The following is a 25,656-nucleotide window of genomic DNA, read 5'->3' on the forward strand; positions in this document are numbered from 1 at the left end:
AAAAAGAAATTGGGGAAAAAGTAAGTAAACACAAAACATCTTTTCTTTTCAAGTTTTCTGCATGAGTTTCAAATGGCTCAACTGGCTATTGCTAGTGTTGAAGAGGAAAGACGTCCAGGGAATGAGGCAAAAAATAAGATTCTTCTCTGGAGTCCCCAAAACGAAACTAAACCTTGAGACCCAATTCAGAATCCTGAGCTACAAAACTGAAAGACAATAATGTCATGTTGAAGCAAAAATTATAAAACTTGCTGAGGTGGTAAATGCATGTAGAGATATATTTAAGATGATTATATTACAAACAGGGGTGGGTAAATAACGGGAATGTAAAGTTTTCATATTTCAACCCCATAGGGTAAAATGCCCACACCACTAGACTGTCACAAGCTGTGTATACGTAATGTAATACCCACAGCAACCATTAAAAATGCTGTATAGAGAAAGACACTCAAAAACTTTGCAGATCAACTAAAATGGAATCGAAAAAACTTTTCAAGGAACCCACACAAGATAGGGAGAAAGAAAACAAACAAAACAAGTATAAATATAAAATAAACAAAAATGGCTACAAATTATTAACAACTATGTGAAATGAAAATGGTAATTGAAAGTAAATTTCTGCCATTTCAGTTTGTGACTTACACTATTGTATAGATATATACTTAAAGTACAAATATTGACATTACAACTAATTTTACATAAACTCATTCATATCTGCATGCAAATATCTGGAAGAAGCCTGGGTAACTCTCCTTACCCGCCCTGAACCAAACCAGTTCCAGGGGAGTAAGATATCTGTCCTGTGTGTGCTATGATGATTAACAGTCTCCCAGAGACACACCCTTCCTAATTCCCATAACCAGTGTATATGTTAACTTACATGACAAAAGGGTATTAAGTTTGCTAATCAATTGACCTGAATATAGAGAGACTTTACTGAATATCTAAGTACATGCAATGTAATCACAACATCCCTAAATGTTGAGGAGGGAGGCAGAAGAGTCAGTGCCAGGGTGATGTGGTGTGATGTGATGTGATTGATGTGATGTGATGGGAGGCTCATCTGGCTATTGCTGGCATTGAAGATGGAAGAGGGCCAGGGAATGTGGGCCAGAAAATGGGTTCTGCCCTGAAGACTCTAGCATGAAACTCAGCCTTTCCACATGGATTTAAGCCCATGAGACCCATCCGTTACTTCTGAGCTACAAAGCTACTCACTTTATGGTAATGTGTTACTTACTTCAGCAATAGGAAAACTAATATACTTTCCAAACATTCATTTCATGCTTTTTTGTGGCCACTGTAATGTGTTAGTGTCAGTTCATAAAATTAGAGAAGAATAAAATTATCATGGCTATTAACACAAGGCAATTAAGCAAATCTTTCCTCATAAACTAAAAACCACTCTCAAAATTTCATTCCAATGAATAATTATTGAGCCCATATTCAATGGAGAACAGCTAATAATTGTCCCTCCCTCATCCTTGAATAATCCACTCCCCTCAGCCAGGATCTATGCCTCCTTTGTACATATCCTGTGCTTCTCTAGATTTCTACAATTATTCCATCTTCTGTCGTTTAGTGGTGGCCTTGTCCTACAGCTCAGAATCTTCTTAGAAAATGGGGGATAGCAGGAGGACACTCAGGGCTAATAAAAAAGTTGCTTCATTTTCTAAGTTAACAACAACAACAGGGAGAAAAGAGATTGTCTTTAACCTCCATGTTAGATTTTACTAATTGCAACTGGAAACTTTTAGGTTTGGAATGCTTTTATGGGACATTAAAATAACCCCATTGAAAATAGTATGAAATCTCTAGTAAGATAATCAGGGAGAACGAGATGAAAATCACAAACCAGTCCTGGAATGGGCTCTGTTTCCTGTGGAGGTGCTGGGTTTGTATTGAATTAAGAAATGCTTTGATTCACTTTAATAAGAATAATTCACCACGTGTCTAGCATTCTGTTGTCACCTTCCCATAGTCTTAGTAAGTGTAGGATTTCCCTGCATCTGTGGCACCAAAACCCTCCTTTTCCTAACTGCCAAGACCCTTTTACAGGGCTGATATCCTGACATAGAAATGGAGTGTAAATTCACTCCCCAAGAAGGATTTGGTAAAAACACTTGGTCCAGTCATACTCAGAAGTTCCTAAGGGTGGCAGGTGAATGGGACATGTCCTCATGAGCTAGCACCATTTTCTCTCTTCTGCCCAAATGTGGACTCAGCTAACTCAACATAATGCCTGGGAAACAAAGATACAAAATGCGAGCAGAATTTTAGAGTTTAACTTATTAAATCTCTCCTGGAATGTTTCCCAAGGAAAACCAAAGACCAGGAATAAAGAAAAAATACAAAAATCTATGGCCGTACCTAGTGTGCTAGTCATGAGCTCTTCAGAATAAACAGCAGTAATATGTACTAGAAATCAGTGAATAAATGCCTTCCTTTAAGGGTAAGCCTCAAGGGAAATTACACTTTCTCTTAAAAATCAAAGAACCTCCCTGTGTTGGTAATTGTCACAGTCAGCATCATCTCTGGATGGTGTGAAAATGGGTGTGGCCGGGACACAAGCAGAAATGCCCAAATGGATTTGGGCCATGAAGCTGCCCCTTGCTCTTGTAGTCAAATGTGAGATTTTCTCTGACTCCCCCACTGATTGTAAACGAAGGAAGACACAGCTAACATTGACTATTCACTCCATGCTTTGAAGTGAGAACCCTACAAATCCTGAAGAAGTGCAGCATTCCAGAGGGAGCATGTTCTGCAAAGGAGAAACTAGTGGAAGAGCAAGAATTTGAAGTCATAAACCAACCTCATTTCAGTAGGCCTTTGACCACCAATAAAATATGATTTCTAGATTCCTCCATCTACAATCTGCAATCCCCAGTGCATTTAGAGAAGTGCTGGAATATACTTTGCCATGAGAAGTGCTGGAATATACTTTGCCATTTTGGTGGATGTAAGAATCCGATTATTTAGAAATTTGCTCCTATAGGTATTCCCAAGCCTTCTTTCCAGAAGAAATCTCAAATATTCCTCAGGCTATTAAAGTATGTTTAGGGGACTGAGAGTCTTGAAATCTTATGACCCCATGGGTGAGTGGAAGATGGAAAGGGCTTGTGTGAAGGAGTAGGCAGAAAGAGGACCATTCCTAGTTCATAAAGCTTTTAAATACCTTTTTCTTCTGTTCAGTCTAAACAGGGTCTTGGAAGGGGCCTATGCAGAAGAGGGCCCCAAAGTTCAAGCTTCATTACCTTCATAGACCAATCAAATCCGACCAAATGCAACATGTCAGTCTTGTTTGGAGGCTCATTTAAATAAGCCTTTACTGTTGAATAAAATGTAAAAAGGCACATTTTAGACAATCAAGACAACTGCTGTATAAACTAAGTATAGCTATAACATAGTGTCAATATAAGACACATTTAGACTCTTTTTGTTTCTTATCATAAACTTGTGTTTCTGTCTATGTCTGTTTACTAAAAGGCACAAAAAAATTTTTTGTATGATACAGGGAGATTTGTTTTGGCAGTTCTAAAGATGAATAAGTGATAGACTTGAAACTATGTACTTTTACTCTAGAAAACTATATTTATTGGCCTACTAGAGTATGAAAAAGTATTTGTCACTTAAAATTGTCTCTAGAGTTGCAAAGACAGGTTGAGTTTACTCAGTAATCTTGTGAAAGCTAACTGTCTGATTATGAACTCATAGTCATGTTGTATTTAATGCAGCCACTGAAGAGAGGACAGCAGATTCTCCTGTTAAAATTAGGAATACAGGTAATAATAGTTTGTTGTAAAGTAATTTGAATACAGTTACAAAGAAAGAGAAATAAACAATAGGACAATTTGTAGTATCTGTTTTAAACTATAATAAGGAATTTGTTTCTTTATCCTAAGGGCGTTAACACACACTTCATTGAACACATGTACTGATTTCTGCTCTTTCCCAATATCCCAATAAACTTATAATAAAGAATCAAAAAGGAAATTAATACCCAAGGACAAGGAAAACAAAAGAGGAGACGACAGTATAAAATAAATGTAGACAAAACTGTAGAACTGAAATGATGACAATTAACTGAGTTTGTCAATCAACATTGCCGAAACCAGACAGGAAGAAAGGACAGTGGTGCAATCAATTTACACAGGAACACCTGGAAAATTGGCTCTATTTGAATGTTGCATTTTCCTATGCAGAAATTTACATGTACACACATTTTAGTTTATATTCTGTATCAATGTTTAATCATTCTTCAACTGAATCCTGTCCATTTATTGTTATTGGATCCTAGGAATTTTAAGCTGTTCTAATGAATAAGGACATTCTCTCATATTCTCGCTCTCTCTCTATTGTATTTTCTATGCTGATACCTATAAACTTATGGCTTTGGGAAACTCAGTCAATGATATTAAGATTTTTCATCCTCTGAAAAGCGAACATAAATGCAAGAAATCCTCAAACACTATTGTAAAGACTAAAAGAGCAAAGGCATCAGAAACATCACTATAATAGGTAGAAAGGGACAATCAATAAATCTTTAGCTACATAGCCATGCATGTACAGAAATTGAAAATATGATATAGATAACAATCCAATCACCAAAGAAAACTTGGTTATTCCATATTGTTTGGGCCAATCATGTATTCAACTTTTTTCACAATGTGGTGTCTTAATATTTGTATACATTAAGAAAGATTCAATCAAGCTAACCTATCATATTCCAACTTACCCTTTTTTTGTGGTGACAACATTTCCTTTTTTTTTTTTTTTACTTTAAGTTCTGTGATATATGTGCTGAACACGCAGGTTTGTTACACAGGTACACATATGCCATGGTGGTTTGCTGCTCCCATCAACACATCATCTAGGTTACAAGCCCAGTATGCATTAGGTATTTGTCCTAATGCATGCTGGGCTTGTAACCTAGATGACGTGTTACAATGCCTCTCCCTCCCCTTCCCCCCACCTCCTGATAGGCCCTGGTGTGTGATGTTCCCCTCCCTGTGTCCCTGTGTTCTCATTGTTCAAGTCCCACTTGTGAGTGAGAATATGCGGTGTTTGGTTTTCTGTTCCTGTGTTAGTTTGCTGAGGATAATGGTTTCCAGCTTCATCTATGTCCCTGCAAAGGACATGAGCTCATTCTTTTTTATGGCTGCATAGTATTCCATGGTGTATATGTGCCACATTTTCTTTATCCAATCTATCATTGATGGGCATTTGGGTTGGTTCCAAGTCTTTGCTATTGTAAATAGTGCCACAATAAACATATGTGTTCATGTGTCTTTACAGTAGAATGATTTATAATTGCTTTGGTATATACCCAGTAATGAGATTGCTGTGTCAAATGGTATTTCTGGTTCTGAATTCTTGAGGAATTGCCACACTCTCTTCCACAATGGTTGAACTAATTTATACTCCCACCAACAGTGTAAACATGTTCAGATTTTTCTGCATCCTTGCCAGCATCTGTAAATTAATTGGGTTATATGGTCATTTTTATGATATTGATTCTTCCTATCCATGAACACAGAATTTTTTTGTGTCATACTCTTATATTTTGGAAACACACACTGAGGCTTTTGGAGGGTGCAGGGTGGAAGGAGGAAGATGATCAAGAAAAATAACTAATGTTACTAGGCTTAATACCTGGGTGAGGAAATAATCTGTGCAACATACCCCCATCAGAAGTTTACCTATGTAACAAATGTGCACTTGTACCCCTGAACTTAAAATAAGAGTTAAAAAATTATTGTTAACATAAAAAAAGAAAAATCTAAACTCCACCACAAACACTTAGAACTAAAAAACAAGTTCACTAACATTGAAGGATAAATTATCAATATGCAAAAATTAGTAGCATATAACAACAATAAAATAGCATGAAAGAAAAATCAAATATTCAATTCCCTCTACAAAGCTACAAAAAATTAATTACTCAGTAATAAATTTAGCCAAGCAGATTAATACTTGTCAGCTATATGACAGAAAATGTCAGTCAATCATATTGAGCTTTGTTCCTTCATCTGAGAAGTAAACATAATGCAAGAAATTATCAAAGGGCTATTGTAAGGACAAAAGGGCAAATGATATAAAACAGGTATTACTATTCTAAGTATAATGGAATGGTTGTTACATCTTTAGCGATTTACCCATATCTGTATGGAAATTTATTGTATGATTCTGAAGCAATACAACCAATGACTAAAACTTGGTCATTAAATGTTGTTTGGGGATAATTCAATTTCCAATTAGTTTGCAAACTGATTTTAGATCTCTCTCTCACAGCATGGGCTTCCTCACGACATGTGGACAGGTTCCTGAGAGAACAGGTTAGAATTATATGGCATTTTTAGGATCTAGACTCAAAAGTTACTAAGCATCACTTCTTACATACTCTATTGGTCAAAGCAGTTACAATGGTCCACTGAGGTTCAAGTGGGAGGAATCCGATGTCACCAGTTGCAGGGAAGATATCAAGGTCCCATTGTCATCAGAAAGCATGAGGTGAGAGATGATCTTTTGGACGTTTTTGGAAGGTATGATCTGCCACACATTGCAAATTCCAAGATGTTAAAAATGTAAACACGTGCATCTAAAAATCAACAACTGTGGTAAGAAATGTATGGTAGAATTTCTTATCAATGTCATTAAGCAGAAGAGAAGACCCTGTTCTGAGAGAAAATCTATGTGTTCACTTAAAAGAAAAGTAAGTCTGTCATTAATCACTTGAAAATAATCCCTCTTTTAAAGATATCTGTATAATGTTATAACAATATGAGGAAGATTTCTGTTGCTTTGTATAACATATTTAAAAAGTTGTGATTGTATTTCTCCCAGATATCGCTAAAACAGTGGTAAACTAAGGCTAAAAACACTTGACTTTACACTACTCATATTGCCTCTGTCTACGGCCCCAACCACTGAAAAAGTAACACCAACTCTGGGGCCAGGACATTGGAGATGCTCTCAGGCAGAAACCTAATAGCTATCCATGTGATATACAAATTTATCTCTTGATATACAACTCTCTGACCAATCTCCCTCCTGACTTTCTGAAATTTTCAATTTCTTGTGATAAATGAACCAAAATTTCGGTCCCTTAAAATGGTATCCACAATTTAGCTGATGTTTCCTAAGACATGATATAGCGACCAGAAGTTTGATTTTGAGTATTCCAGAAGGAGAAGAAATGAGTAAGAGCATGGAAAAAATTTTTAAACAAAATAGTAGCTAAAAAATTTGTCAAATCTAGCAAGAGACTGGGACACCCAAATACAGGACCTCAAACATATTCAAATTGACACAACCCCAAAAGGCCTTCTCCAAGGCACATAAGAGTCAAAATGTCAAGATCAAAACCAAAGAGAAAATTCTAAAAAGAGTAAGATAAAAGCATCAAGACATATATTAGGGAAGCCTCATCATATTAGGAGTGATTTTCACAGAAGAAACTGTACAGTCTAGGAGATATGAAATAATATATTTAAAGTGTTCAAAGAAAAAAAAATTCTGCCAGCCACAAATACTATCTCCAGATAGATGTGCAGTCCAGAGATGTGCAGTCCAGCCTACATAGCTTATGGTAGCCCTTCAAGTAGGAAAGGAAGGTCAGAGAGAAGGAACAAAGGAGAATGCAGGGCAGACGTGCCTTGCTCTTCCTGTCCGATGAATACAGGAAGACAGCAGGAGATGCTTTTAAATATCAATCCGTTCAGGCATTTTCCTGACCTTCTCCAATGCTTGCAAAGGGTGAAAGAGATGGGTGTATCAGGAAAGAATAAATACCAGCTATAAACTCATGGGAAACAATCAGAATGGAGTTTGCCAAAGATTTGAAAGACAGAGATAGGGTGGGTAAAGCAACAACCATACTCTAGCAGCAGCTCAGGCACCTGGAGATGAGTCAAAGCCCTAAGTAATTCACTTGCCATCTAAAATGGCAGCAAATTTAACATGTCTCAAGTCATGTTCTTGATTTCAACATCCTAAAACCTCTCTCCCTCAAAATATTTTGTTACTTACCTAAGCAATTACCACAGAGTAGTGTCTTAAACAACAGAAATTCATTTTTTCACAGTTTCATTGAGATCATGGTGTCAACAGGTTCAGTGTTTCCTTAGCCTCTAGACATCTGCCTTCTTGCTATGTCCTCAAAAAAGGAGCTGCCTTGGTGCATGTGGATATTTGGTGTCTCTCTGTGTATGCAAATGTCTTCTTCTTATAAGGACACCTAGCAGATGGGACTATGTGCCCCCATAACAGCCTCATTTTAAGTTAATCCACACATTTCTGTTCTTGCCTTCAAATATGGTCATATTCTGAGAAACTAGGAGTGAAGTCTTTCATCATATAAATAAGGGGAAACAGAATTCAGCCCATAGCACTACCCAGTGTCTTCTCAGTCCACGACAGCAGTTTCTTTTTTTTGTTCAAATATATTGGAATCACGCTTGCCTTTCTCTCACCGAAGCCTGGTCCATGAGCAAATCCAGTGGGCTCACCTCTAAATCCCTCGCAATATGAACACTTGCATATTCCCTACTACAGAGCTGTAGTTCATGCCATGATTCTCTCTCAAGGAGGATGTTAAGAACCTTAACCAGGTCTTGATAACATTCTTGTTACATTCCATATCAGTTCTCCCCACAATAGCCAGAGTGACCTTTTACAGATGAAAATTAGATCATATACCATTTGTGCTTCACACCCACCACAGGTTTTTATTACACTGGTAATCAGATTTGAATTTCATATGTCAGCTTCTTCATACCCACATGACTTTCTCTTTCTTAAAAAATGGGAGATTCTTTGAGTAGGACAGAAAGCAGAATCTTCCTCAACTTCATCTTGAACTAGCTTGTCTGCAACGCAAGAGAGTTGTCTACCAGGAGAGATGAACATGAAGAGAGTGGATGGACTTGTGATGTGATTGAGTGAATTGCATTGAGTCCTGTGGTCTGGGAATAGTTCATGGGAATTGGAGGAATCCTTGTGCCCATTGAATCAACTAAGTATTATTTTAATATAATTAGCAATGAAACAAAAATGTCTCAAAAAATTCAAATTTGCATAGATTTTTCTATAAATCCTGACTACACAATTACCATATTGGTTCATATAGTTTATTATTATCTTTTCTCTTATAAACACATATTTCACAATTATTTTAGGGTATTCATATTCATATTCAATGAACACATTGTAGCCATGACTGATTATAATAAAAATATTTCTTAAGCATTTACTGTATGTCATTTAATCTTCAGAATCAGCTTATTAGGTAAGAATAATGTTTACTACTATCTCAGTTTTATAGGTGAGCTGACTGAGGCACATGCCAAAGTTGTTAGAATGGTAATAAGTGGTATAGATGGCTGTCAGTCTTCAGAGCCTATGTTCTTGCTTACTGTACTCCACTACTTTCTTGCTATTTACTTATATATTTATTTACTTCCAAAAAAGTCAGAAGAAACCAGGTCCAGAATATAAACTCAGGTACAAGTGATAGGAAATGTGTAAGGTAAAACTTCTCCTGAGATCTTAAAGGTGAGGTAATAAAAAACTCTTTTCTGAATAAATAAGTTTCTTTCTAAATCATAAACACATTTACACAGGATTCTCCAGACCTGTCTTTCTTTTCATCTTTACACAAAATATACTCATTAGAATATGAGCATCTTTGGGATGCCCATGTTTTCCTCCCACAGAGAGGATAGGTAATCTTACTTTTCTCCAATTTGTTTTAGTAGTGTGTGTGGAGGTACTTATCCAGGATTTGATAATGCACTACTTGGTCCTATTCAGTTGGCTCTCTTTACAGAGAAGCATCCATTTTTTTCTTGGGTGCCACATAGCAGACACAGTAAATTTATTATCTTTTCAAATTCTTCACCTGCCTCGTCAGGCCTGGAAGAGCATATAGCTCAGCCCCTGCTCACTCCTATAATTTCTGTTTTATTTATGAACTTTAAAAATACTTACTAATGAGAATAAAAAGAATGAACAATGCCTTTGATTTTGGTATTTTTGTGGAGCCCCCTCTAAACTGCAGGGCCTGGGAAAGCAGATCTTCTTGAAATACAGAGTGCCCAACATAATAAATGAAAAAGACCTACATCAACTTATATCTAATTAAATCTTAATGATAAGAAAGATCTTGAAGATTCCACTTTAAAAAAGCGTCATGATGTAGTAACAGCTCTGGTCTGCAGCTCCTAGCAAGATCAATGCAGAAGGCAGTTGATTTCTGCATTTCCAACTGAGCTACCCAGCTCATCTCACTGGGACTGGTTAGATAGTGGGTGCAGCCCATGGAGGACAAGCAGAAGCAAGGTAGGGTGTCGCCTCACTCCGGAAGTGCAAGGAGTTGGGAAACTCCCTCCCCTAGCAAAGGGAAGCCATGACAGACTGTGCCATGAGGAACAGTGCATTCCAGCCCAGATACTACGCTTTTTCCACGGTCTTCACAACCCACAGACCAGGAGATTCCCTCCGGTGCCTATGCGACCAGGGCCCTGGGTTTCAAGCACAAAACTGGGTGGCCATTTGGGCAGACTCCAAGCTAGCTGCAGGAGTTTCCTTTCTAACCCCAAGGGCACCTGGAATGCCAGCAAGACAGAACAGTTCACTCCCCTGGAAAGGGAGTTGAAGCCAGGGAGCCAAGTGGTCTAGCTCAGTGATTCCCACTCCCACAGAGCCCAGAAAGCTAAGATCTACTGGCTTGAAATTCTTGCTGCCAGCACAGCAGTCTGAAGTCCACCTGGGACACTCCAGCTTGGTGGGAGGAAAGGTGCCCACCATTACTGAGGCTTCAGTAGGCAGTTTTCCCCTCACAGCATAAATAAAGCCACCGGGAAGTTTGAACTGGGTGGAGCCCACTGCAGCTTGGCAAAGCCACTGTAGCCAGACTGTCTCTCTAGATTCCTCCTCTCCGGGCAGTGCATCTCTGAAAGAAAGGCCGCAGACCCACTCGGGGCCTTACAGATCAAAGTCCCATCTCCCTGGGACAGAGTACCTGGGGGAAGGGGCAGCTGTGGGCACAGCTTCAGCAGACTTAAATGTTCCTGCCTGGCAGCCGATCTCCCAGCTCAGTGCTCGAGCTCTGCAGAAGGACAGACTGCCTCCTCAAGTAGGTCCCTGACCCCCGTGGCTCATGACTGGGTGACACCTCCCAGCAGGGGTCAACAGACACCTTATACAGGAGAGTTCTGGCTGGCATCCGCTGGGTGCCCCTCTGGGACAAAGCTTCTAGAGGAAGGAACAGGTAGCAATTTTTGCTGTTTTTCAGCCTCTGCTGGTGATACCCAGACAAGTAGGGTCTAGAGCGGACCTCCAGCAAACTCCAGCAGACCTGCAGCAGAGGGACCTAACTGTTAGAAGGAAAACTAACAAACAGAAAGGAACAGTATTAACATCAACAAAAAAGTCATCCTCACCAAAACCCCATCCGAAAGTCACCAACATCAAAGACTTTGGTCTTTGATAAATCTTCATAGATAAATCCACGATGATGGGGAGAAACCAGTGCAAAAAGCCTGAAAATTGCAAAAACCAGAATGCCTCTTCTCCTCCAAATGATCATAACTCCTTGACAGCAAGGGAACAAAACTGGACAGAGAATGAGTTTGACAAATTGACAGAAGTAGGCTTCAGAAGGTGGGTAATAAAAACTCATCTGAGCTAAAGGAGCATGTTCTAACCCAATGCTAGGAAGCTAAGAACCTTGAAAAAAGGTTAGACTAATGGCTAACTAGAATAGCTAGTTTAGAGAAAAACATAAATGACCTGATGGAGCTGAAAAACACAGCACAAGAACTTTGTGAAGCATACACAAGTACCAATAGCTGAATTGAACAAGCAGAAGAAAGGATATCAGAGATTGAAGGTCAACCTAAAGAAATAAAATGTGAAAACAAGATTAGAGAAAAAAGAATGAAAAGGAATGAAAAAGCTTCCAAGAAATATGGGACTATGTGAAAAGACCAAACCTACATTTGATTGGTGTACCTGAAAGTGACGGGGAGAATGGAACCAAGTTGGAAAACACTCTGCAGGATATTATCCAGGAGAAATTCCCCAACCAAGCAAGACAGGCCAACATTCAAATTCAAGAAATACAGAGAACACCTCAAAGATACTCCTCGAGAAGAGCAACCCCAAAACATATAATCATCAGATTCACCAAGGCTGAAATGAAGGAAAAAATGTTAAGGGTAAGCAGAGAGAAAGGTCGGGTTACCCACAAAGGGAAGCCCATTAGACTAACAGTGGATCTCTCTGCAGAAACCCTGTAAGCCAGAAGAGAGTGGGGGCCAATATTCAAAATTCTTAAAGAGAAGAATTTTCAACCCAAAATTTTATATCCAGCCAAACTAAGCTTCATAAGGGAAGAAGAAATAAAATCCTTTACAGACAAGCAAATGCTGAAAGATTTTGTCACCACCAGGCCTGCCTTACAAGAGCTCCTGAAGGAAGCACTAAACATGAAAAGGAAAAACTGGTACCAACAACTACAAAAACATACCAAATTGTAAAGACCACCGACATAATGAAGAAACCCCATCAGCTAATGGGCAAAATAATCAGCTAGCATCATAATGACAGAATCAAATTCACACATAACAATATTAACCTTAAATGTAAATGGACTAAATGCCCCAATTAAAAGACACAGACTGGCAAATTGGATAAAGAGTCAAGACCCATCAGTGTGCTGTACTGAGGAGACCCATCTCGTGTGCAAAGATGCACATAGGCTCAAAATAAAGGGATGGAGGAATATTTACAAAGCAAATGGAAAGCAAAAAAAAGCAGGAGTTGCAATCCTAGTCTTGATAAAACAGACTTTAAACCAACAAAGGTCAAAAGAAACAAAGAAGGGCATAATGGTAAAAAGATCAATGCAACAAGAAGAGCTAACTGTCAAATATATACACACCCCATACAGGAGCACCCAGATGCATGAAGCAAGCTCGTAGAGACTTACAAAGAGACTTAAACTCACACACAATAATAGTGGAAGACTTTAACACCCCACTGTCAATATTAGACACATAAAAGACACAGAAAATTAACAAGGATATTCAGGACTTAAACTCAGCTCTGGACCAAGTGGACGTAACAGATAACTACCTGACTCTCCACCCAAAATCAACAGAATATATATTCTTCTCAGCACATCATCACACTTATTCTAAAATTGACCACATAACTGGAAGTAAAACCTCCTAAGCAAATGCAAAAGAACGGAAATCATAACAAAGAGTCTCTCAGACCACAGTGCAATCAAATTAGAACTCAGGGTTAGGAAACTCATTCAAAAACACATGACTACATGGAAACTAAGCAAGCAGTTCCAGAATTAAGGCAGAAATAAATAAGTTATTTGAAACCAATGAGAACAAAGACACAATGTACTAGAATCTCTGGGACACAGTTAAAACCGTGTTTAGATGGAAATTTATAGCTCTAAATGCCCACAAGAGAAAGCAGGAATGATAAAAAATTGACACCGTAATATCACAATTAAAAGAGCTAGAGAAGCAAGAGCAAATAAATTCAAAAGCTAGCAGAAGACAAGAAATAACTAAGATCAGAGCAGAACTGAAGGAGATAGAGACACGAAAAACTCTTCAAAAAATCAATGAATCCAGGAGCTGGTTTTTTGAAAAGATTAACAAAATAAATAGAGCACTAGCCAGACTAATAAAGAAGAAAAGAGAGAAGAATCAAATAGACACAAAAAAAGATAAAGGGGATATTACCACTGTCCCACTGAAATACAAACTATCATCAGAGAATACCATAAACACCTCTACACAAATAAACTAGAAAATCTAGAAGAAATGGATAAATTCCTGGACACATTCACCCTCCCAGGACTAAGCCAGGAAGAAGTCAAATCCCTGAATAGACCAATAGCAAGTTCTGAAATTGAAGGAGTAATTAATAACATACAAACAAACAAAAAAAAAGCCCAGGACCAGATGGATTCACAGCCGAATTATACCAGAGGTACAAAGAGCTGCTGGTACCATTCCTTCTGAAACTATTCCAAACAATAGAAAAAGAAGTACTCCTTCCTAACTCATTTTATGAGGCCAGCATCATCCTAATACCAAAACCTAGAAGAGACACAACAAAAAAAGAAAATTTTAGGCCAATATCCCTGATGAACATCAGTGCAAAAATCCTCAATAAAATACTGGCAAACTGAATCCAGCAGCACATCAAAAAGCTTATCCACCATGATCAAGTCAACTTCATCCCTGGGATGCAAGGCTGGTGCAACAAACAGAAATCAATAAACAACCCATCACATAAACAGAACAAATGACAAAAACCAAATGATTATCTCAATAGATGCAGAAAAGGCCTTTGATGAAATTCAACACCTCTTCATTCTAAAAATACTCAATAAACTAAGTATTGATGGAACACATCTCAAAATATTAAGAATTACTTATGAAAAACGCATAGCAAATATCATACAGAATGGGCAAAACTGGTAGCATTCTCTTTGAAAACTGGCACAAGACAAGAATACCCTTTCTCTCCACTCCTCTTCAACATAATATTGGAAGTTCTGGCCAGGCAATTAGGCAAGAGAAAGAAATAAGGGTATTCAAATAGAAAGAGAGGAAGTCTAATTGAATCTGTTTGCAGATGACATGATTGTATGTTTAGAAAACCCCATGGTCTCAGCCCCAAAACGCCTTAAGCTAATAAGCAACTTCAGCAAAGTCCTAGGATACAAAATCCATGTGCAAAAATCACAAGCATTCCTATACACCAATAACAGACAAGCCGAGAGCCAAATCATGAGGGAACTCCCATTCACAGTTGATACAAAAAATAAAATACCTAGGAATACAAGTTACAAGGGACGTGAAGGACCTCTACAAGGAGAACTACAAAACACTGCTCAAGGAAGTAAGAGAGGACAGAAACAAATGGAAAAACATTCCATGCTCATGGATAGGAAGAATCAATATCGTGAAAATGGCCATACTGCCCAATGTAATTTATAGATTCAACACTATTCCCATCAAACTACCATTGACTTTCTTCAGAGAATTAGAAAAAACTACTTTAAATTTTCATATGGAACCAAAAAGAGCCCATATAGCCAAGACAATACTAAGCAAAAAGAACAAAGCTAGAGGCATCATGCTACCTGATTTCAACTATACTAGAAGGCTACAATAACCAAAACAGCATGGTACTGGTACCAAAACAGATATATAGACCAATGGAACAGAACAGAGGCCTCAGAAATCACGCCACACATCTACAACCATCTGCTCTTTGACAAACCTGACAAAAACTAGCAATGGGGAATGGATTCCCTGTTTAATAAATGGTGTATGGAAAACTGACTAGCCATATGCAGAAAACTGAAACTGGACCCCTTCCTTACACCTTATACAAAAATTAACTCAAGATGGATTAAAGACTTAAACGTCAGACCAAAAACCATAAAAACCCTGGAAGAACACCTAGACAATACCATTCAGGACATGGGCATGGACAAAAACTTCATGACTAAAACACCAAAAGCAATTGCAAGAAAAGCCAAAATTGACAAAGGGGATTTAATTAACTAAAGAGTTTCTGTACAGTAAAAGACACTATCATTACAGTGAACAGGGAACCAACAGAATGGGAGAAAAATTTTGCAGTCTATCCATCTGACAAAGTCTGATTTACAGAATCTACAAGGAACTTAAACAAATTTACAAGAAAATGACAAACAACCATATCAAAAAGTGGGTGAAGGATATGAACAGACATGTCTCAAAAGAAGACATTTATGTGGCCAACAAACATGAAAAAGAGCTCATCATCACTGATTATTACAGAAATGCAAATCAAAACCACAATGAGACACCATCTCATGCTAGTTAGAATGGTGATTATTAAAAAGTCAGGAAACAGGCCGGGTACAGTGGCTCATGCCTGTAATCCCAGCATTTTGGTAGGCCAAAGTGGGTGGAGTTAGGTGAAGTTAGGAGTTTGAGACCAGCCTGACCCACATGGTGAAACCCTGTCTCTACTAAAAATACAAAACTAGCCAGGCATGGTGGTGCATGTCTGTAATTGCAGCTACTCAGGAGGCTGAGTATCGCTGGAACCCAGGAGGCAGAGGTTGCAGTGAGCCAAGATCATGCCATTACACTCCAGCCTGGGCAAAAAAGAACAAAACTCTGTCCAGAAAAAAGAAAAAATTCAAAAACTAGCCAGGCATGGTGGCATGCACCTGTAATCCCACCTACTCAGGAGGCTGAGGCAGGAGAATCACTTGAACCCAGGAGGTGCAGGTTGCAGTGAGCTGAGATCAGGCCACTGCACTCCAGTCTGGTGACAGAGCCAGACTCTGTCTCCAAAAAAAAAAAAAAAAAAGAAAGTCAGAAAACAACAGATGCTTGAGAGAATGTGGAGAAATAGGAACAGTTTTACACTGCTGGTGGGAGTGTAAATTAGTTCAACCATTGTGGAAGACAGTGTGGCAATTCCTAAAGGATCTAGAATCAGAAATATCATTTGACCCAGCAATCCCATTACTGGGTATATACCCAAACAATTATAAATCTCTCTACTATAAAGACACATGCACACATATATTTATTGCCATGCTATTTACAAGACCAAAGACTTGCAACCAACCCAAATGCCCATCAGTGATAGACTGGATTAAAAAAATGTGGCACATATACACTATGGAATACTATGCAGCCATAAAAAAGGATGAGGTCATGTTCTTTGCAGGGACTTGGATGAAGCTGGAAACCATCATTCTCAGCAAACTAACACAGGAACAGAAAACCAAACACCACATGTTCTCACTCATAAGTGAGAGTTGAACAATGAGAACACAGGGACACAGGGAGGGGAACATCACACACCAGGGACTTTCAGGGGGCAGGAGGCATGGGGAAGGATAGCATTAGGGGAAATACCTATTGCACACGGGGCTTAAAACCTAGATGATGGGTTGATGGATGAAGCAAACCACCATGGCACATGTATACCTATGTAACAAACCTGCACCTTCTGCACGTGTATCCCAGAACTTAAAGTATAATAAAAAAGAAAAGAAAAGAAAACCGTAATGAGATATCATCTTACCTCAGTCAGAATGACTATGATTAAAAGGGTGAAAACTGAAGAGATGTTGGCAAGGATATGGAGAAAGAAGAACTCTTATACACACTTGGTGGGAATGTAAATTAGTACAGCTTCTGTGGAGAACTGTGATTTCTCAAAGAACTAAAACTAGAACTACATTTGCATTGAGCAACCCTACTTCTGGGTATCTTCCCAAAGGAAAAGTAGTCAGTGTAACAAATACATACCTTTATCTGTATGTTTATTGTAGCAACATTCATGGGAACAAAGATATTGAATCAACCAAAGTGTCCATTAATGAATGATTGGGTTAAAAATGTAATTATATATACCCAATGCCATACCACTCACTCATAATGAGAGAATGAAATCACATATATTGTGGCAATATGGATGGAACTGGGGGTCATTTTCTTAAGCAAAACAGGCTAGATACAGGAAATGAAATATAACATGTTCTCACTCATAAGCGGATGCTAAAGAATGTGTATGCACAGATGAAGAGAGTGAAATAATACACAATGAAGACTTGGAAGTGGAAGGCAGAGGGGTTGAATATTGGGATATTAATTAATAAATACAGTGTTTGTTATTTGAATAATGAATACCTTAATGCTGTGACTTATGCACTATGTAATCTATGTAACAAAACTGAACTTGTAATACATACATTTGTGCAAATAAAATTTTTAAAAAATAACAGAAACTCTAGTCATACTGCTCCCCCATCCTCACCATTAAAAAGAAGAGGCAATGACCAGTGTGGCCATAGCAGAATGAATTAGGTATAGAGCAGCCACCAATTCCAGAGATAGTTAGGGCTCAATACATAGGACTTTAGGATAGTTGAAAATTAGCATCTTGTTCTTAGAGAGTAAAAGTGGTGGCCATCAACTGGAAAACATAGAAAAGTAATATAATTTTTAAATGGCCAAGGTGGGTAATTGATTGTTGGGAAATAAATAGAACTATTTGGTGTAAACTGCAGGTGAGGCTTGCTTAGATGGGCTGATAGATATGAAAGTGATGAAACTGGCTGCAGTCAGAAATTATTTTGAAGCTTGAACTTCACAATGATAACATAGTTGATTTGACTAGATGTAATGTGATGTAAGAGGAAAAGAGTCTAGAATAAATCCTAGTTTCCTTAATTAATTAGAGAATAATTTACCAAGAGCAAATAGAGTTGGAAGAGGAGTAATTCTGTAGTTGTAGGAGGGAGAGACAGAGGTAGAAGAAAACAGGGAAGAGAACAGGAGGTTCCAGGAAAGACTGATAGAGTGTTCCCCAAAGAAGGGTAGGATCAATGGTGTTAAACTGCTGAGGGGTCACAGGAGATGGATGACTGAGAATTGATTCCTGAAATGAGTAGAATGGAGGCAGTAGATGACCTTGACAGACTTGGAGTGGAAAGAACAAAAGCATCTTTAATGTGTGTTTTAAAAAAAAATGGAAGGGAGGGGATGGGGAAATAATCACATACATACGTTTCAAGAACTTTTGCAATACAAATGGCAGACAAATAATATGGTAGGAAAGAAGCACTAAGAGTCTTAGCAAAACCTCTGTAGAAATGGGTGATGTTTCAGCAGGTTTTTGCTGATTGAAGTAATCCCATAGAGCATAGATGTAAGAATCAGGAGACAAAAGGGTCACATGCAGAAGCAAAATCCTTGATTGGGTAATGTGGTTCAGAGTCATGAGGGTAGGTAAGAGATAGGGGTAGGGAGGCTTCAACTACAGTAATAGGAGAGAAGCCAGAGAACTGGGATTGAACTGAATGTGGGTTGCTCAACTTGGTGGTGATTATGGCAAGATCCTTCTATTCCAATTTTTCTGAAATTCATAGTGAATTATCTGGGCTATCGGTGGGCACAGGGGCAGTTTTCTAATATTGAACCTTCCTTGCTTGAGAAGCAGACATGCCAATCTCTGCAAGGTTTTTGGTATGTATGTTATCTGAATAGTCTCCATACTCTAAGGTAGTTGTTATGATTCTTCTCATTGTAGATAAGGAAATTGACGCTCTGAGAGACCAAGTAGCTTTTTAAGAGTTCAGAGCTAGCAAGAAAGAGTTATGTCTTAACTAAAATCTGAGAGTGTCCCAGTTCTTTGCTCCTAAAAGTCATGCTGACTTCTTGATGAAATCCATTCAGGTTTCATTAAAGAAAGGTGAGGAACATAGGGAGGGAGAGAAGTGATCACTGTTAAAATAGGGTCAATGGGATAGAGAGGGTTCTAGGGATAAGAAGCACAGACCCATATTCATTCACTTGAAACCAAACTCAGTTTCTTAGAAATTATAGGGATTTCTTTTAGTTTCTATGACTTATTTTCCATTTGTTGTGTTTTTTGTCCTTAAAATTACTGGAATATCAGTAAACAATCTGAAAATAATTTTAAAATTTCAATTTGTGCTGTAGAAGCCAGAGAAGGGCCAGGCATGGTGGCTGACTCCTGTAATCCCAACATATTTGGAGGCCGAGGCAAGCAGATGACCTGAAGTCAGAAGTTCTAGCCTAGTCTGGCCAACAGAGTGAAACCCCATCTCACATAAAATTACAAAAATTACCCAGGAATGATGGTGGGATCCTGTAATCCCAGCTACTGTGAAGGGTGAGGTAGGAGAATAGCTTGAATCCAGGAGATGCAGGTTGTAGTGAGCCAAGATTATGCCACTGCACTCCAACCTAGGTGATAGAGCAAGACTCCATTTCAGAAAAAGAAAAAAATAGAAGTCAGGGAAGGAGATAAACAGTAAAATATTTTTCATGGCAGCTGGCTAAATTAGGATTAAAGAGGAGGGAATCTCCCTGGAAGCATCAAAGAGAAGGGGTCCTAGATGTTCTTATAATGTGTTCTTGGTCCTCACACTCCACATTCACAAACACTGAGAAAGAGACACCACAATCAGAAATTGTAAGCTGTTTATTTTATTGGTATATTAAAGGTAGAGCTATGACCACCTTCTTCCAATGTCATGGCATTTGAATCATTTGAATCACTGTCATCTTCTTGTTCACTTCCTGAAACAAACAAACAAGGAATTTCATAGAGCAGACTTGACATGGCAGGAAATGTCGAATTCCTCACTGGTGTTACTGCAGTAGAGTACATGAGATCCCATCCTCTCTCCCCAATCCCTTCAACCTCCTGTGATTCTTTCCTGATTTTTTCTGTGTTCACTCTTTTGATGCCCTTGCACACAATGTGCTCCAAATTGTTGCTGAGAAGATGAAGAGAAAAGATCATCCTTAGGTTGTTATGACTCATTGCTGTTGAATTTGTTCAGGGATATATTTACACATATGATAATCAGAACCTATTTTATAATAGTGATAAGATGAAACCACCCTCAGTATCCAGTGACAGGGATTGATTAAAGAAATCATGGTGCAGCCACACAATGGAGTAGCATAAAATTGTAAAAGCAAACAGAAAACCACTGAAGAGATGTATTTAGCTTCATAAACTGATGTGGAAATTTTCAAGAAGTGTATTTTTAAATGACTACCATATATACCTGCATATAAGTTATGGTATTAGTGGTAGGGTAAAAGAATGCTGTATGTCTATGCACACATAAATATTTCAAAGAGAAGATCCCATAAAGTCAACAGTGGTAGCTTTTTGAAGGAAGGAAGGTGAGTAGGATGAGCTACGCCTTTAAAATTAACTTCATATTTTTCCATTCCATTAGATATCTTTTGTTAGCTTAATCATGTACTTACTGAAAACTAAGTATGTAAAAAATGAGACACCATTTAGCTGCTGAAAGATCAGGGACCATTTGGCAGGAATACTGGACTCGAGAGGCTGGCGTGAGGCAGGAATGAGCAAACAGTGCTCAGGTGAAAAATTTAAATGCAATATCTCTGAGTTTGTGGACCGAAAGCAGAGCACCAAGAATGGACATGGTACTACTTCCTCATTGCCAACACAATTTAAGACAGATTGTATGGTATGTTGTTTCTCAACATCAGAGTTCCTTAAAGAGTTTGTTAGAAATACAGGGTCTTCTTACCCTATTCCAGAGTATCTGAATACAAATCTTTAGAAATGGGTTCTAGGACAATACAATGTCAATGGGTTTTTAGTTGATTCATTGGCACAATAAAGTTGGAGAACTGTAACACTTAGAGCACTTGGTGAAGAATAAACTGGAATCATACCTGTCATTGAACCTTGATTACTGGGGAGGCTGTCCCTGGGGAGGTCTGTGTGGTCTGCCCCCTTGAGGAGGTGGAGGTGGTCCCTGGGGCTTTCCAGCGGGAGGTGGCAGAGGCTGCTGGGGATTGCCTCCTGGTGGGGGTGGTCCTTGTGGCCTTCCTGGAGGAGGGGGACGTTGAGGTTTGTTACCTTCTTGTGGGGGTGGTCCTTGTGGCTTTCCTGGATGAGGTGGGGGACCTTGAGGTTTGTTGCCTCCTTGTGAAGGTGGTCCTTCTGGCTTTCCTGGACGAGGTGGGGGACCTTGGGACTGGTTTCCTCCTTGTGGGGGTGGTCCTTCTGGCTTTCCTGGACGAGGTGGGGGACCTTGAGGTTTGTTGCCTCCTTGTGGGGGTGGTCCTTCTGGCTTTCCCGGACGAGGTGGGGGACCTTGGGACTGGTTTCCTCCTTGTGGGGGTGGTCCTTCTGGCTTTCCCGGACGAGGTGGGGGACCTTGGGACTGGTTTCCTCCTTGTGGGGGTGGTCCTTCTGGCTTTCCCGGATGAGGCGGGGGACCTTGGGACTGGTTTCCTCCTTGTGGGGGTGGTCCTTCTGGCTTTCCCGGACGAGGCGGGGGACCTTGGGACTGGTTTCCTCCTTGTGGGGGTGGTCCTTCTGGCTTTCCCGGACGAGGCGGGGGACCTTGGGACTGGTTTCCTCCTTGTGGGGGTGGTCCTTCTGGCTTTCCCGGACGAGGTGGGGGACCTTGGGACTGGTTTCCTCCTTGTGGGGGTTGTCCTTCTGGCTTTCCCGGACGAGGTGGGGGACCTTGGGACTGGTTTCCTCCTTGTGGGGGTGGTCCTTCTGGCTTTCCTGGACGAGGTGGGGGACCTTGGGACTGGTTGCCTCCTTGTGGGGGTCGTCCTTCTGGCTTTCCTGGAGGAGGTGGGGTACGTTGGGGCTGGTTTCCTCCTTGTGGGCGTCGTCCTTCTGGCTTTCCTGGAGGAGGTGGACACACGGCATTCACTGAATAGTTGCCGCAAATTTTTACAGTAACGCAGCTAAATGGGGAAATGCACAAAAATAAGACCCAGACACTAATTTCTTTGCATTTTCAGTGAAGCTCTAGAACTCTGGAGTGGAATGCTGGAGAAGAAGGAAGCAGTTGAGGGGCTCTCAGTCTAAGGAGGAGTCAGAATAAGGACACTGGCCATTTGTCTGTCATCTCCCAGCAGGCACTCCTGGCAGGAGGGAAGTCAACCCACTCCCGTTTTCATCTAAGCCAAGCATCTCTGCCATTCAATTTGGTGGCCCTGCTCATGGTCCCCAAAATCAAGGTTGCATGAAGATTGCCTGCATTATTAGGGGGACTAATATTAATCAATTTCTAAAGGAAAATGTTGGTGAGAAGACACTGGAGAACTGATCCATTCATAAGCAGAAGAAGATAGTTAAAACAGATTGAGAGTGAATTGGGATTTACCTGATATTACGGAGGGAGATTCTTCCTGGCTGACATCTAGAAGAGAAGCACAGGATGATGGGAAAGGTTACATCTCGAATTTTGCAAGATTCACAGGTGTTCTACAGGGAAAGGGGACTTCTCACCACACCCCATGCATCCCCTAGGTTAGCTCATCAGCTACCATCTGTGAAGCTGCTGGAAGGGGAGGAAGGTGTAAGGGGAGGCAGGGTTGTTACCACACAGAGCAACAGCCATGAACTCAATATAGAAGAGCCCCTTTTTTTCTTCCCTAGCATCCTTCAAGACTTAATGCTAATTTAGTTTACACATGCCAGGTACTTCAATGTGATATTTTGGTATTCTTATGCCCTCCATCTCCTATAAATACATTGCTTATATTCACAAGCTTTCTCAATTTCGGTAACCAGAAGTAATTGTTTCAATACAATCTTACCTATACCACTCCCAGCACATTGAAATACTGTGTGTAGGGGAAAGAAAAATCACAATGATTGAATCTGATATTTCTATATCTGTAGTTAGACACAGGCAAGTGTTTTATCCAGTTCTGTCTCTGCAGTATCTCTAATGTGTGTTTATCTCCATCATCAATGCTGATCCACTAGGTAGAGCAAGGCCACAATCATCCCTGTGTACTTACTGAGATCAGTTTAGGATCTTCACAGCTGGACTTTCCTGAATCTGCCTTGCATTCACCACTGCATCCTTCACAGCACAGTTCTATCTCTCTATAAATGCAAATCTTACCTTCTCATTCCCCTGGTACAAATTCTTTATTGGATTTTCATTGTACATTAAATAAATTAGAAGCCCTTGGTGTGGAATGAGGGCACAACAGGTCTCCTGATCCTAGGCATGAAACCTCTGCAGCCCCATCTGTGTTTTCATTCTCCTCTCTTCCCCATAATTACAACTATCACCTCCTAAGCCCCAAGCAGAGTCACCACATCTTCTCCTCCTTCTGTCTTACCTTCATTTAAGCTCTGAGCTGAGCTCAGGGCCAGCAGGGCCACCGACAGCAGAATCAGTAGCATCTTGCTGGAGGCTCTGGAGTCACTCCCAACTCTGTGCTGGGAGAACCATGGCAGCTCCCTTTATAAAGAGGAGCAGAACAGTGGCACCTTTGAGCTCCACACTGGGTGGGCCTCACCACCCCAGAGACTGGGTTCTGCTTTCCTTACTGCAGGTCAGGTGTATCCCTTATTTCTGTCTGGGACTCTAGCCCAGAGGAACAGGTTGGGTTGGATGTTGTTTGTACCTTATTTCTAAAAGGTACAACTATGACTTGAACAAAGGTTTTAAAGGAACTGTGTCCAAGCAATCAGCACGGTGTCATAATTGAACTTCAGACGTCATTAGAGTTTCAATCTTTTTGGTAAGACTATTGTCCACTTTCAACTTTGCTATTTATTTCTGTGTATGTGTGTGTGGGCAGTGAAGCTACAGCCAGCGGTGATGATGATCAATATCTCTGGCTGTTTTTATAGCCTATTTCCATCTCTCGTGATGTGTGTGTACAGAGAGTATCACATTTAGCTTAACTTTTGATGCGATAGAGATAGTTTCTGCTATCTGGGAGATGTTTGAGGACAGCACACTCCTGGGCACACAGATGACAGAAGGCTGCCTCACAGCCTACTCAGGCTACAGCTATTGTTCATGCTTCTGTGGATCTCACTCAAGTCAGGAAAGGCTTCTTGTTGTGAAACACAGGAAGGCCAAAATTGTGTATTTTAAAGTATCTTTAGGGGTTATGAATGCAAAATGGACACACAAACCACGAGGAAATTTCTAGACCTGAGAAAACTGAATATATAGTTCCTTGCAGGAACCATGCAATATCATGTTGCCAAAACTTCCTTCATGCTCTTCCCTTTCTCTAGAATATTCTACAAAATTCACCCTCTGCTTCATTTCTTTTAAGAATTGTATTGAATTCCTACCTCTGATAATTAAGTGGCTACAATTCTACATTCAAATAAGGTAATCAGATACCCTCATTAAAGCCTCAATTGCATTGTATTGGTTTTCTTGGTTTAGTCAGTATTTGTGTTACCTGTTTTCTCAGATTGTTCTTCCACAAAGAGTATTTTTTCTACAATATTCTGATATGCATTCCTCCCTGACGTTCTTTCTGGTACTTCTTTGTTCATATTTTATTTTCTGAGTCAAGCTCATTTTGTGTAATTTTCTTTATATATCTGGCTTTTTTCCCCAGGAATTTGGTAAGATTTCCTTTATTTAATCTTCTAAGTAATAAGCTATAATTCTCACCACCTTTGTTTCATTCTTGTCTGTGTAATTTCACAATAAATGTTGTGTTTCCAAAAAGCCCTCTCAGAGTCCTGCATTGTTAGCACTTCTTTTAGCTGCTGATTCTTCTGTTATACCTAGTAAATCCCTGCTCATCAGTTCATGGAATATACAGGTTAGTCAGTGAGTCAGCTGCCATTTACCACTTAGACCTTCTGTGTGTCTTGTGTAATTGTTCACATTTTGTGCATGGCTGGTATTAATTTGAGGACAGCTTGGCTGGAGGTATGATGGAGGTAGAGAGGGTATGTGACAGTAAATCCTAAAGACAGACCTCTTGACCATTGTGGATGAGTGGATCCTGGACTGTGCAGATGAGGGTCTGGTCTGGCCCTTCTGAAGAGTTGGGGGTAATAGTACAGGAAGACTTCCTAATACAGAAGGCTTTGCTACAGATAACTTTGCCCTTGCAAGGGAACCAGGAAGATTGATATTTTCCCTGGCAAAAATATAGACATACTTGAAAGGGGAATATATTATTAATTGGAAATTATTTCTGGCTCTATGGAAAGTGGACTGGTTCTAGCTAGTCTTCATGAGTTTTATCTTAGGCAGAGAGTACTTGCTTGTGCCAGCAG

The 25,656-nt window shown here is 39.7% G+C and overlaps 1 protein-coding gene and 1 long non-coding RNA gene across 3 annotated transcripts in view; one reads left to right on the plus strand and one right to left on the minus strand.

The window, feature by feature from the left end:
* LOC107987435 (uncharacterized) overlaps positions 1–25,656 on the plus strand; it is a 96,284-nt gene that overhangs the window by 56,519 nt on the left and 14,109 nt on the right. The gene's annotated exons all lie outside the window — the stretch shown is intronic.
* On the minus strand, positions 20,044–23,837 carry PRB3 (proline rich protein BstNI subfamily 3). Of its 2 annotated transcripts, NM_006249.5 has the most exons (5): positions 23,736–23,837; positions 22,763–22,798; positions 21,730–22,278; positions 21,306–21,603; positions 20,044–20,159 (listed from the first exon to the last, which is right to left on the minus strand). In NM_006249.5, exons 1-4 carry the CDS (start codon positions 23,797–23,799, stop codon positions 21,323–21,325), a joined length of 930 nt encoding a protein of 309 aa, NP_006240.4. In that variant the 5' UTR covers positions 23,800–23,837; the 3' UTR covers positions 20,044–20,159; positions 21,306–21,322. The 2 variants fall into 2 exon arrangements, with proteins under 2 accessions (NP_006240.4, NP_001381791.1); NM_001394862.1 differs by having other exon boundaries at positions 21,306–22,278.

Source organism: Homo sapiens, chromosome 12, assembly GCF_000001405.40.
Source record: "Homo sapiens chromosome 12, GRCh38.p14 Primary Assembly".
In the NCBI taxonomy this organism is placed as follows: Eukaryota; Metazoa; Chordata; class Mammalia; order Primates; family Hominidae; genus Homo; species Homo sapiens.

Coding starts and splice junctions, on each gene's coding strand:
- PRB3 (NM_001394862.1), bottom strand. CDS start 23,799: ATGCTACTGATTCTGCTGTCGGTGGCCCTGCTGGCCCTGAGCTCAGCT. Junction 22,799..23,735: donor AGCTCAGAGCTTAAATGAAG/GTAAGACAGAAG, acceptor CTTCTCTTCTAG/ATGTCAGCCAGGAAGAATCT. Junction 22,279..22,762: donor ATCTCCCTCCGTAATATCAG/GTAAATCCCAAT, acceptor CACCTCCTCCAG/GAAAGCCAGAAGGACGACGC.